At 46.1% G+C, this 13,788-nt stretch overlaps 2 pseudogenes; one reads left to right on the top strand and one right to left on the bottom strand.

The window, feature by feature from the left end:
- Positions 1-3,312: 3,312 nt before the first annotated feature.
- SAPCD2P1 (suppressor APC domain containing 2 pseudogene 1) lies at positions 3,313-4,874 on the bottom strand (annotated as a pseudogene).
- Positions 5,590-6,518, top strand: VN1R38P (vomeronasal 1 receptor 38 pseudogene; annotated as a pseudogene).

Genomic DNA, 13,788 nt, shown 5'->3' with positions numbered 1-13,788 from the left:
AGCTGTGGATACTCTGCTGTTTTCAGGAATTAGGTACATTTAGTTTTCTCCTTGGTGGCTCCCTTTCTAACAATCCCAGGGCCAGTGCCATCCTGCTTCTACAGGTGACATGACAATTATGGGCCTGAGGGGGATGAACTCACAGTATCCTTTCCTTATAACCATGGCTCAGGGACCACAATTCACACACAGACTCACTCCAAGACTCAGCCGGGTGATTGTCTGTTTCTCAGCTTCATTATCAGTGAGTGATCAAGACTCAGGTGGGATGATGTCTGTAATTCTCTCACAATTTGTTCTTACATCTCACTGAATTATAACTAGTCAGTAGGTATTCCTAGATGAAATATTAATATTATGAATATATAAATGTATAGATCGGTGGAAGAAAATTTGAAATTATGTAATCAAGCTAGAAACCATCATTCTGTGCAAACTATCGCAAGGACAGAAAACCAAACGCCACATGTTCTCACTCAAAGGTGGGACTTGAACAATGAGAATGCTTGGACACAGGGTGGGGAACATCACACACCAGGCCCTGTCGTGGGGTGGGGGTAAGGGGGAGGGATAGCATTAGGAGATATACCTAATGCTAAATGACAAGTTAATGGGTGCAGCACACCAACATGGCACATGTATACATATGTAACAAACCTGCAGGTTGTGCACATGCACCCTAGAACTTAAAGTATAATAATAATAATAAATTATGAATCATATTTGAATTTGAATTTTATTTTCCACTTTAAAAAATTAGTACAAATTATTTTATGCATTTATGCAAATCTTTACATTTTAAGACACTCCAAATCTGCACCAATTCAGAGTGATGTAATTATACTACTTTGGGCTTAAGTTTGGAAATGCTGTAGTACATTTCTAACACTTAAGGATGGTTTGAATGATCATGTGATAAAACAAGAATTTTTTTTCATGATTCCAGAAATATCTTTTATTCCTTTAGATATATAAAACACTGTTACTTCATATTCTGTCTGATAATTCCAGTATCCGTGTCTACCTGTTGTTTCTGCTGGGTCTCATAGTGTATTGTTTTCTTGTGTTTATGAATTTTAAAACTGGATATCTCATTTTCTTTTCTCTCTTTCTTTCTTTTTTTTTTTTTCTGTAGAGATGGGGTCTCTCACTACGTTGCCCAGGCTGGTCTCGAACTCCTGGCCTCAAGTGCTGGAATTCCAGGCGTGAACCACTGCGGTCGGCCGAGATAGTCGTTCTCCTTGGAACTTGATCAACACAAAATCCTGAGACCTGGTGTGGTTGTGTTCCTCTGGGGCAGATTCTCAACCAGGGACACTTCTGCCCCCAGGGACACATTTTGACATCCTGAGACAGTTCTGGCTGTCACAACTGTGTGTGCACGCACTTGTACGTACCTGCGCAAGCTATGGCATCTCGTGGATAGAGGCCAGAGATGCTGCTCACATCCTGCCAGGAGACTGACCCGCGCAGCATTACTAGGGCGGGCTCAAGGCAGGGTCTGCATGTGCCTCTGCCAGCCACCTAGACAGTGCCAGCTGGGGCCACTTTATATTCTCCCCTCGTGGTCTGTAGGGCCACACACTAGCCTGATTGCAAGCTGTAAACTTGGAGGACCTATTTTTTTTTCTCACCTTGCATGGAACACCAAGGCTGAGAGGCATTTTTTCCGGAGGTGCCAGCCTGTCTCACATTTCCGCTTTAGCTGCGGGGTCCAGCTCTACGTGGGCGGTCTTCTGATGAAATCACCCCGGGACAGACACTGTTCTGTCTCCTGCTTCCAGTCCTGTAAAGATGCCCGGATCCCCTAGCGCACGTCAGGCACCCTCAAAGGCAGACATGGGGAGGCCCTAGTGGGCAGACCCCAGCCTGCTGATGGGGGGCTTCTCCCCGGCTGCCGCTGGCCCACCCACTGCGCTGCAGTCCACCTGGTGCTGGGGCTGTGGGGCACAGGCCTTCAGGACCCGCTCCCTTTCCCGCCCAGGAGGTCCAGGCCTGGCGTCTTTATGTCCCCTGGAAAGCCCACTCCCATCCTCAGGGTAAGAGGGCAGCTGCACGCTGGGCTGTCTTGGGCCTGTCCTGGAACACCCCTGCAGCCCGGGTGCAGCAGGGGATGTGGCTCTGTGGGGTTGCTGTGGGAAGGTTGGCATGGAGCTGGGTTCCAGAAGAGAGTTGCCGCTCTGCCTGCCAGGACCCCTCCTCTGAGACAGGGTGCCTTGTGGGACAGTGTACCAAAGTGTCCTGGGCATGAGGGGTCCCTGCTTCCCCCACACACTGACCCTGCATCGGGGGCCCTACGCCCCCCACACACTGACCCCTCATCAGGGTCCCTGCGCCCAACACACACTGACCCCGCATAGGGGGCCCTGTGCCCCACACACACTGACGCCGCATCGGGGGCTCTGTGCCCCACACACACTGACTGTGCATCGGAGGCCCTGGGCTGCAGAACCCACCCATGATGTTGCCGTGCCCCTGGTTCTGGTGGCACTGGGGCCCGCCAGGCTGGGCTGAGTAGGGGGCCCCCACCAGTGCGTATCCTAGCACCAGCGGGAGAGGGCCTGGGCAGGGGGGCAGGGAGTGACACCAAAGGGGACCTGCCCCAGCCTCCTCCTGTACCCTGGGTGTTCTCCTTTTCCTTGGCTGAGGGAAGTGGCCTCTCCCCATAGAAACCTGGGGTCAGCCTGGGCGTGGGAGGAAAGGAGGGTGAGCAGGACCCCAGACCTTGGGAATCCTGAGTCGGGGGTGACAGACTCTCCCTATGACATGCCTGGGAACTGTCTGGAGGCCCAGGCTGACCCCCCTCCTGGGGACAGGGCCCTCCGAGGGAGTCAGGCTCACAGGTTGTTTTGTGGGACTCAAAGTGGGGCAGCGTCCTGGCCAGGATGAGGAAGGCCATCACCCCGGGGTCTGCGGGAGGCACACGCAGGCCCAACTCTCGCCCACCTGGCTCCCCCATCTGCTGCAGTCAGAGTCCCTCAAGCTTGGCCGGGACCTGAAACCCGACCGCCATCCCTGGGGCTCCTCTGCCAGGCGGGCATCCCCCGCTTAGAGGCCATCCCCACCCCCTCCATCTGCTCCCGTCCGAGCGACAGCCACTTTGTCCTGGTGCCCTGGTTGAGGCGGGCGGGGGGTGGGGGAAGCTGCCCTTGGACCCGCAGGTCTCGGGCGCAGCCTCAGCGCCGCATCCGAGCTGCCACGCGCCCTCTGCTGGCCTTTGGTGGAAGTGCAGCCTGGCGTGAGCAGTTCTTTTCCCTGGAGATGGGACCCAAAGCAGCACCGCTGGAAACCAGGTATCTGGTAACTCGTGGAGGGGTCCCCCACTGTCCGCTGACAGCGGCAGTAGTAGCTGCGGACTATGCGGACTCAAGAGAGCCCCAGCCCATGTCAGCACCGGAAGCCGAAACCGAGTCAAGGGCTCAATGTGGGGGCCAGCCGGGGACAGGCCTGGGGAGCCCGGATGGCAAGGCGGGCAGGAAGGCGCCCACTCCTGAACTGCCTGGGCCTGCCGGGGGTCTCCAGCCAGAGAGGCTGGGTGCGACGAAGCGCCCGCCCTCGAAGGGCTGAGTGCCAGGCCGGCCCTGCGGGGGCCGGCTCAGCCCACACGGGAAAGATAAAGGTGGAGTCCAGAGGACCCCCATCCTGCTGGCTCAGGGCGCGGGCCTCAAATAGCTGCTTAATGAGCGCCGACTTCTGCTCCAGCTGCGTGATGCGCTCACTCTTCTCGGTCACCTCCTGGGTGAGGAGTCGGTTCTGCTCCTTCAGCATGAGGATGATCTGCTGCTGCCAGCCCGGGGACGAGGTGGACGTCAGGGCAGAGCAAGGGGGCCCGGAGGAGGATGTGGGCAGGGCCCGACCGGCACAGGCCTCAGCCAGCAGCTCCCCCAGCCACCGGGCCACCTCCTGTACCTTGGGCAGTAGCCGTCCCAGTGGGCGAGGGCTCCCCACGGCCCCAAAGTCGGCGCTGGCTCTGCTCTGGCCCAGGCGGCACTGGCGCTCCTGCACTTGTTGCAGCTGCTGCTGGTACCAATCGCGGCCCTGCGCCATCATCTCCAAACCCTGTAGCAGCACCTCCTTCTCCTGCTCCAGCTCCTTCATCTGCTTCAGCAGGCCGCAGTCCACGCCGCTGGTGATGGTGTGCCTCCGGTGTTCCCCTCGGGCACAGGGGTCCGCCGGGCATCCCCTGAATCCGCCTCCAAGGCGCTGCAGGCCGCTGCACCTGCGTCCGCGCCGGGTCTCCGTTCCAGCGCAGCGCTCTGGAACCGCTCGGGCCCCGCGGGGCACTGCGCCGCCTCGGCGGGAGCGTACAGCTGCTCCCGGCTGCGGCCCGCGCCGCTGGGACAGGCCAGAGGGGCGCGAACGCCCAGGGACAGGGGCTTCCTCTCCAGAACCGTCAGCAGATCGTCCGCCGGTGCAAACACCAGGCGCTGCGGGGGCGGAGGCGGAGGCGGAGACGGCGGCGGCGGCTGCGGCGGCGGCGGCGGCGCCTGGTCCGGGGTGCTGCCGTCGGCTGTCAGCAGCGAGGTGCGTAGGCCGGCCACGAAGCGCTGGAAGGTTAGGTAGCCGCTGGCTGGGGTCACCTGGCTCAGGCCCTCCAGCACCCCGCTTGGCAGCTCCCGCGCTTCGACCCAGAGGGACTGGATCTCTCGCAGGTGCACGCAGCCGCGCTGCCAGTCGTCCAGGATGTCTAACAGGGTGCGCAGGCTCTGCAGGAAGGCGCGCGGCAGGCCCGCCGTGCTGCGCGCGGGCGAGGCGGGAGACACGCGGCCCGGCTCGGCTGTCGCGGCCCGGGTCATGGGCGCCTGGGCTCGGTCCCCTAGTCCACCCGCGTGCGTCCCCGAGCGAACCCACCGCGGGGCCGGCCCGGCGCGCTCCCAAGACTTTCAATATACTTCACATTAAGAAGCTTTTAGTAGAGGACCATAATAAAACTACGTTTAATCCTATTATACTAATTGCTAATAGGGAGATTTTTTTTTTTTTTGCTATCACAAAACTATCTGAAAAGAACACCTTCTGCTATGTGTCTGTTATATAATTTTTATAGGATACATGAAACGTTGCATGCATGAATGTGATATTCAGCATGATGTCAGAGTGATGTGATATGACAGCCACTCAATGCATTATTATTTTTTTCCAAAATACTTCTGGTGATTGCTTTTTCCATTAGCACAAAATCTACTTCAGTTCTACAAACACCCATGATTCATACCCATGTCACCCATGATTCACCATGTCACAGTTCTGGGTGGTGAAAACTAAATGAAGGAATGCAAAAAGTGAGAACTAAATGCTTACTAAAAAAGTGTGTCCTTGGTACTATAGGAGTACAGATAATGTGCGCCCTCTACAGGGGTGACTGTGAATGTGTGCGTGTTCGCTCAACTATGTTAATTTGGTTGATCATATAATGATCAGGCTGGATGTTTAAGAATTTATATGTGATGATCAACATTAATCAAAATGAATGGATGGATTTAAAATGATAATGACGGTGATAATTTTGAATTTGAAGTAACATTGATGATGGAAGTTCTATTGGTTGTTTTTTTCAGCTACATAAAATATTTCCTATTTGCCATTAAAATGAACAGTTTCCACTTAACGTTATCATTCAAAAGTGCCTTCTTTGCCCAAGCTGATGTTGGAGTCTCCACCAACATCCTCCTCTTTTTCTCTTGTATCATGACGCTCCTTCTGGATCTCAAGCTCACTGACCTGACCACCAGTCACTTGGACCTCGTCCACATCATGATGCTGCTCACCATTGTGTTCTTGGTGTCTCAAGACCTTTTTAAGTCCCTTCATTTTCAAGATGATTTCAAGTGTAAGATGCATTTCTAGGTGAGCGGGGTGATGAGGGACTCTCCATCTGCATCACCTGCCTCCTGAGCATGCTCCAGGCCATCATCATCAGCCCCAGGACCTCCTGGTTGGTGAGGTTTAAATATAAATTCACAAATCACATTTCACATGTTCTTGTCTTCTTATGGTCCTTCAGTTTGTCCTGCAGTAGTTACATAATCTTCTACACTGTGGTTTCTTCCAATACGACTCACACCAGTTTTCTGACACTCAATAAATACTGCCTCATTTCCCCAAGGAAGTCATCATCAGCCACCTTATTTTTCTTACTCTCTCATTATCCAGAGATGTGTCCTTTGTGGGAATTATGCTGCTCTCCAGTGCATACATAGTGACTCTCTTGTGCAGGCATCAGTGGTGATCCCAGCACCTTCACAGCACCAGACTCTCCCCAAGAGTTTCTCCAGAAAAAGGCCACAGAGACCATCTTGCTGTTGGTGAGTTTCTTTGTGGTCATGTACCAGATGGATTTGAGTCTCTCATCCTACTCAATCCTGATATCAACATATGACCCAGTCGTCCTGGGTGTCCAGAGGCATGTGACCAGTGCCTATGCCACTGTGAGCCCTTTGGTGCTAATAAGGTCTGAAAAAAGGATAACTGATATTCTGCAAATGATGAGACAGAAGTATTGTATATTTTTTCTATGAAAATAATTATCTGAAAAGGAGATTCTAACATCAGTTAAATTATTCAAGTATCAGAGGATTTGATATTTTATTTCATTGCAAACACTGTCATTTTATGTAAATCATTTGGAAACTGATGCTGCCAAAGACTTGATGGATCCTTTAGTTCATTGTCCACCATGATTTCATAGCCCAGTATGTTTGCAGTTTCTTGCATTTCATTTTGATTTCTTGAACTTCATTTTAATTTTTTTCTTTTTGAAGTATATTCTTAATAACCTCATATTGGTAATAAGATTTCTCATTTATTTACTTTTGGAAATCATTTAGTGCATCCTTACTTATTCAAAATATGTTAGTGAAGTATCTAATTATTGGTTGAACAGTAACTTCTCTCAGCACTCTTACTTATTTCTCTGTTTTCTGGCTGAACACAGGCTGTGGAGACTTTGCTCTCACCTTCGTTGGTTCTCTCTTCTTTTCTCTCTCAAGGCTTTAAAGATTTTTTTCTTTTTTTTGGTGTTACGCAGTTTGACTTTTATTTCTGTTGAGTATTTTTTTGTTGGTGGTCACTTTTAATCACAATACACTTCTGCATTCAAGAGTTCCTGATATTCAGTTTCAGAAATTTATAAATATTTATTAGTATGATTTGTTACTTGTATGTAAGCTAGTGAAACCTATGTGTTTGATTTCATCTCATTTTATTCTTTGTACATGTATAGTATAATCATATTTGTATTGTGATCATTTTGTTTTTCTGTAGTTCGTTTATTTCTTCATTTCATTATTCTAGTTCATTAATCCTGTTATTAACTTGGCCTAATTTAATAATTAAACCATACATTGTATATTAAGTTTATTTAAGTTTCAGTTGTTCAATTTCTATTTGAGTCTTTGTAAAACATGCCTGCTTAGTGTGTGTGTGTGTGTGTGTGTGTGTGTGTGCGCGCGCGCGCGCGCACGTCTGTGTGTATTTGAGAAGAATCTGTCACCCAGGCTTGAGTTCAGTGGTGGTCATAGCTCACTGCAACCTCAAATTCCTGGTCTCAAGAGACCCTCTCACCTCCACCTCCCCAGTAGCTGACACTACAAGCACATGCCACTGTGCCTGGATCATTTTTTCATATCTATTTATTGTAGAGACAGTTTTTGCTTTGTTGCCCAGGCTGGTCTCAAACTCCCGGCGGCAAGTGATCCTCCTGCCTTGGCCCCCGCAAAGTGCTGGGAGTACAGGCATGAGCCACTGCCCCCAGTGCCCGCTTTAGAACTTCATGTGTTTTCAAAATTATTTTGATATTCTCTTTCCCCATTTGTGTTACTGAATTATTTTAAATATGTTTCCAATCTGTGAAGTTTATGTGATGTATAATTTCTTCTTTCCCTTTTTTGGGTAGCTTATTTTGTGTGCTTCATTACTTACAATTATAGAGATCTCACATTTGGGATGGCCCCATTTAGTAATTTTCTGTGTTTATTCCAAGGGGCAGAGTGGACGATCCTCACAGGCTTGAGGTCTTTGTAATCAGCCCTGCAATCAGAGCTGTACCTGAAGGCAGCTCTAACTTCTTGCTATCGTAACTCCTATGAATTTGCCTCTTGATTCACTTCTGGTCCTGGGAAGTTCCCGTATTTTTCTACCAGCTCTGCTGGGCAGTTTCAGAATTCTTGTAAACTTTAAATATTTTTAATTTACTACATTAAGTGACCTTTGAGAATATGTTATTCTGTACTAAAACAGCAAATGTCCACATGCATATATGAGTAAAAAATGTTACATAAATATTTTGTGTAGAACAGTGCCCCATGAGAAATTGCAATTTTTCTCATTTAAAACATCTCAATGCCCATGTATTATACACTAACATTATCTGTGAAGTATAAATATTTTCTTAATACTTGGAAGAATTTTTATGTTTTGGACAAATGTCTGAAGTGATCATGCTCCACTTTAATGCATAACTCCTGCACGTGGGCAGAATTGCTGTTTTTCTATAAAATTAAGAAACTTAATTAGTAGAGTTAAATATATAAATTCAGTCTTTTGGTTTCAGTTACAAAGCTTCCTCCTTAGCATTTCTCTGGTGCTGTAAAAGTAATCTCAGTTTGAATTTTCCATTTAACCTAGATGTCATTTAAAACAATTTTAGGGATAAAAGACTACCCATTGAGTACAGTGTACACTGCTCAGGTGATGGGTGCACAAAATCTCAGAAATCACCACGAAAAAACTTATCCCTGTAACCAAACACAACCTCTTCCCCAAAAACCTATTGAAATAAAAAATTCACATAAAAGTAAAAAATAGGGGCTGGGCGCGTTGGCTCGCGCCTATAATCCCAGCACTTTGGGAGGCCTAGGCGGGTGGATCACAAGGTCAGGAGATCGAGACCATCTGGCTAACACGGTGAAACCCTGTCTCCACTAAAAATACAAAAAATTATCCGGGCGTGGTGGTGGGCGTCTGTAGTCCCAGCTACTCTAGAGGCTGAGGCAGGAGAATGGTGTGAACCTGGGAAGTGGAGCTTGCAGTGAGCCGAGATCGTGCCACTGCACTCCAGCCTGGGCAACAGAGCAAGACTTCATCTCAAAAAAACAATAATAATAATTAAAAAATAATAAATCTGAAAGGAAATTTGCATGTGGCTACACATTACTTGTTGGTTACACTGTAATTTTTATTGTCATTTTACAGTGTTCAAGAAATACTGCTTATAGGATTTGTGACTTTGTGAAGTTAAAGACACTAATTTAGGTTTAAAACCTTGCAATAGTAAATGATTTTCTTGGTATTGGAAAATTATGTCCATCCTCTTTTTTAGTGCTCAAAAATGCTGATCCCTTTTCCACTTAATTAACTTTCTAATAAAGTTTCAAACTTTCTAATACTTAACACTCTTTATTTTTTCTATACCAGACAGTTGATTTCCATGATCATTTTAATATCAATTAATGTCATTGTAAATGTATCAATTTTTCATTTAATTGATCTCTGTGTATACATTAAACTCTTTGGTATTAAATCTATGTGTAAATGGTTTGAAATTGCACCTAACATATCATTAATTATATCTAAGCATTAATCACTCTGATTAATCCAATTTTCATCTCTTTTTACTGTTTTGCATTTACTGTGTCATTTTGTGTTTATTAAAATCTATAATTCCTTTCCTTCAAACATATTTCCAATATATGAAGTTTATGTGATGTTCAAATAGTAATATTTAGGAGGTAGTTTTAGTTTGTCATTTAGGCAAAATCAAGTTTAATGACAGTTTTCTAATTAATTTTATTCTTTGTTACCTATTTATAATATTTAAATTTAATGAGCCCATAATTATATATATACGCATATCAATGATGACTACAGTAAAACAATTTAACATATGCATGAACTCATGTAGTTTCCTTTTGGTGTCAAAGCACCTAAAGTTTACCCTGTTAAAAAATTACCAGTATATCATATAAAAATAGTAACTATAACCTTTAAACTGTACTTTAGTCCTCTAGATTCATTTATTTTATAAACTGAAATGTTGAGTTGTGTTTTTTCTCCCCCTAGTTATCATTCTGTCCTGTATCTATGTATTTACTCTTTTTAAAGATTTCATATATAACAGAAATTATGCAGTATTTTCCTCTCTCCCTAAGCTATTTCACTTAGCTTAATATCCTCCAGGATCATTTATGTTATCACAAATGGCAGTATCTTCTCCTTTTTAAAAGCTGAAAAATATTATATTATATAATGTATTATACACACACACACACACACACAAACACCTCCCCCACATTTTTTTTTCTCCACTTGTCCATCAATGCACAGTAACGTGATCCCATGGCTTGGCTGTTGGGAATGATGCTGCGGTGGGGCACGGAGAAGAGGGGAGTGCAGATATCTCTACAAGATGCTGATTTCATTTCCTGTCGACATATAATTTATAAGAGGGGTTGCTGAGCCATATGGTAATTCTACTTTTAGATTTTCAGGAAGCTTCATACTGTTTTCCATAATGGCTGTACTAGCTTACATTTCAATCAGCAGTGTACGAAGGTTCCCTTCTCTCCACACCATCACCAACACTTGTTATATCTTGTCCTTTTTATAACAGCCATCCTAAGAGATGGGAGGTGATATCCCATTGTTATTTAATCAGAAACTGTAAAATTCCTAGAAGAATACATAGGGCAAAACTCCTTGACATTGGTTCAGATAATAATTTATTAAATATGACATTAAAAGCACAAGCAACAAAAATAAAAAATACAAGTAGGAGTACATCTAACCCTAAAGCTTCTGCACAGGAGAAACCAATCAATGAAATTAAAAAGAAGCTTACGAACTCGGAGAAAATATTTGCTAACAATATATCTCACAAGGGATTAATATCAAAATACATAAGAAATCCACACAACTGAACAGAAAAAAAGAGAAACAACTCACCAAAATCTAATAACCTGATTTAAAAACAAGCAAAGAACCGGAATAGACATTTATCTTTAAAAAAAGATATAAAAATGGCTAAGAAGTGCTCAACATCAGTAATCATCAGGAAAATGCAAATCAAAGTCCTCATTTACTTTAGATTCTATACTTTATTTCACACAATAAATATGAATGCGTACAGAAGGTACAGTAATCTCCATCCTACAACAGAGGACCCTGAGACTGGTGACTCTGGAATGCATCTGCATGGAGCCGGCCTGGGGTGGGGCGGGGGGGATGATGCTGAAAAGGACAGCAGATGACGTAGAACCAGGGGCAGCGACTCACCTGGGACCCCTCAGCAGAGGAGCCTCGGTCGGTCCCCAAAGCTCAACAGCACCCTCTGGGGACCTGCTCCCTGCTGGCTTGGTCAGCACCATGGACAGAGGATAGGTGAGCGAGGCAGAGTCAGAAAAATACAATGGGAGGACAGCCAGGTGCCCTAATCCAGAGCTGCTGGCTGACAGCCCTAAGAACCCCCCTGAGGCTAGGGATGAGGTAAAGGGCCAAGCTGGCCACCTGTGGGGCCCTCAGACAACCTCATTGCCTCTGGTGCCACCCCAGCAGTGCACAGCAGCACAAGTGGACAAGGCAGGCATGTGGATGGATCTGGGGAGTCTTGCTCAGGAGCTCTGACAGGACAAGGGTAAAAAAAGGGCTACTGTGGCTGGAGAGAGGGTCACAGCCTCTGGGTCAGACACGATGGAGAAATGAGGAAAAGTGAAGGGGTGGTGGCCAATATGTAGGAGAGGCAAGTGGATGCAGGATGGTCAGAGTCCGTTAGACAGGATGGGCTCCAGATGCATCCTCGGTGTACTGGGCACTTCTCAGCCTTCCTGGAACTGAGCCTGGTGATGTGGTCACTTTTGGGGAGACTGCTGTCAGGGCCCAGCCACACACCCCTGGGCAGCACTGTCCCATCGCAGGACTGGACTTTCTCAGGTCCCATAGGGGATGCTGCCTGTAGCCCAGAAGGGGCGGCCCCATTGTGCACCCTGAGCCCCCATGGATCCTGAGCAGCCCCTGCCTGGCCCTATGCTCCCTCTGCTCTCTTGCCCCGGCCCCTCCTGAGTGTCAGCCGCATGGAGGCCCTGTCTGTCCTTTCTTCCCTATGCAGGCTCCTGGGCTGAGACCTGGGTCAGATGGGGATGGGGCTGGTTCTTCCCTGAGACCTGCTCAGGAAAGGGGACAGCCCCCAGGCTTTTTTGGACTATTTGTGGATACTTTGTTTACATTTTGAATATTAAATGTGCATCATCTTGTTGGCCACGCAGTCCTGCAGGCATCAGTGCCCTAGCTGTCCTGTGAGTCCTCATGCAGAGCAGTGCCATTATGGTCAGCCCTTGTGAATAAGTGAGTATACCCTGAAGCTGACTTCCATCTGTGTCCTGCACTCTGATCCAGCACTCTCTACGGAAATAGTTGTCATTTCCTCAGTGATGGTGTGCCTTATAGTGATGGCTGTAATGGTGAACGGCTAGTGTCATTTTTCAAATTTTGTTTTGCTTTTTCATGGTGGATAAGATGAAATTTTAGTTGTTTCAGCACCAATCCAACTTAAAAGCATCTTGGACTTTGTTTTCCCTTCCAAATTAAAAGATCAAGGCATGTATTAGACACAAGCATATTTGTTGCCTCAACTCCTCTGACACCCATATTAGGAAAAGGCCTGCCACCAAAGCCGGAAGCTGCAAACTCCTAACCCTTCTCCCAGGGCGTGGGGTCCCTTGACACCATAAAGAGCTACTGCAAGGTGCTTCTGTACTTTTTCAGCCTGGAAATGGAGGGTGAACGGCGCTGGCTCCTGCTATGAGAAGAAAACCGGCCTCATTTTCTCAGTGCCCCAGAGATCTAGGACAGGATTTCTAAATTAGAATCATCCTTAATCAGCTTGAAGATCCCCCAAGAGGCATTTGACTGGTGCTGCCATCTGTGTCCTCAAAGCAATGTTGGTGGCAGCGTCCTGTGTACACATGCAGAGCTAATACCCAAACTAAAATACTGGGTAACTGGCCCTGAAGTGCTTCCCAATCAGTAAGCCCACAGGAAAATGTTTGATTTTTATGTTTTGTTGGATTTTGGTTTGCTTGGCATATCTAAAGGTGCCTTTTCTTTTCTTTTTCTTTTTTTGTTCTTCTTTTTTTTTTTTTTTTTGCTTTCTGCTTTGTTTTATAGGACTTGTTCTAAACATGGAAAACAAGTCCAGAAGACTCTCCCTCTGACTATTACCTTTGCCCCAAGCCACCCCAAACTTTTATGCTCGCATTTTATTAAAGCAGATGCTCCCTGGAATCTCTGGGACCATTTTGAGGCATTTGAAAGCAGAATACAGAGTGGTCTCATCTCCTTCCTTAATCTTCCTGGTGGTTGGGATGTTCCACTTGTATTATAGATTTTTTTTATTACTGATGTGCTCTGCTGTATTTAAATGTGAACTTGCTTGCAAATGTGCAGATTCAATGATCTTGTTACAGATTAAATAAATTTTTATTTTGAAAAAAATTGAAAACTGATTTTCTTGAGACAAATGAAAATGAAAATACCACATATCAAAAAAATTTGAGATACAGCAAAAGCAGTTATAAGAGAAAAGTTTATAACAATAAACACCTACATGAAAAAGAAGATATATTTCTAATAAATAACCTAATATTACATCTCAAAGAACCAGCAAAACAAGAAGAAACAAATGTCAAAAAGTAGAAGGGAAGAAATAACAAAAATCCAAGTAAAAATAAATAAAATAGAGAATTAAAAATTGAAAATACAAATGATGAAGTTGGTTTTTTGAAATAATAAAATCAA

This window comes from Homo sapiens, chromosome 7, assembly GCF_000001405.40.
Source record: "Homo sapiens chromosome 7, GRCh38.p14 Primary Assembly".
Taxonomy (NCBI): domain Eukaryota; kingdom Metazoa; phylum Chordata; class Mammalia; order Primates; family Hominidae; genus Homo; species Homo sapiens.
The sequence above is the reverse complement of the archived record's forward strand: the minus strand, read 5'-3'. Positions and strand labels throughout refer to the sequence as shown.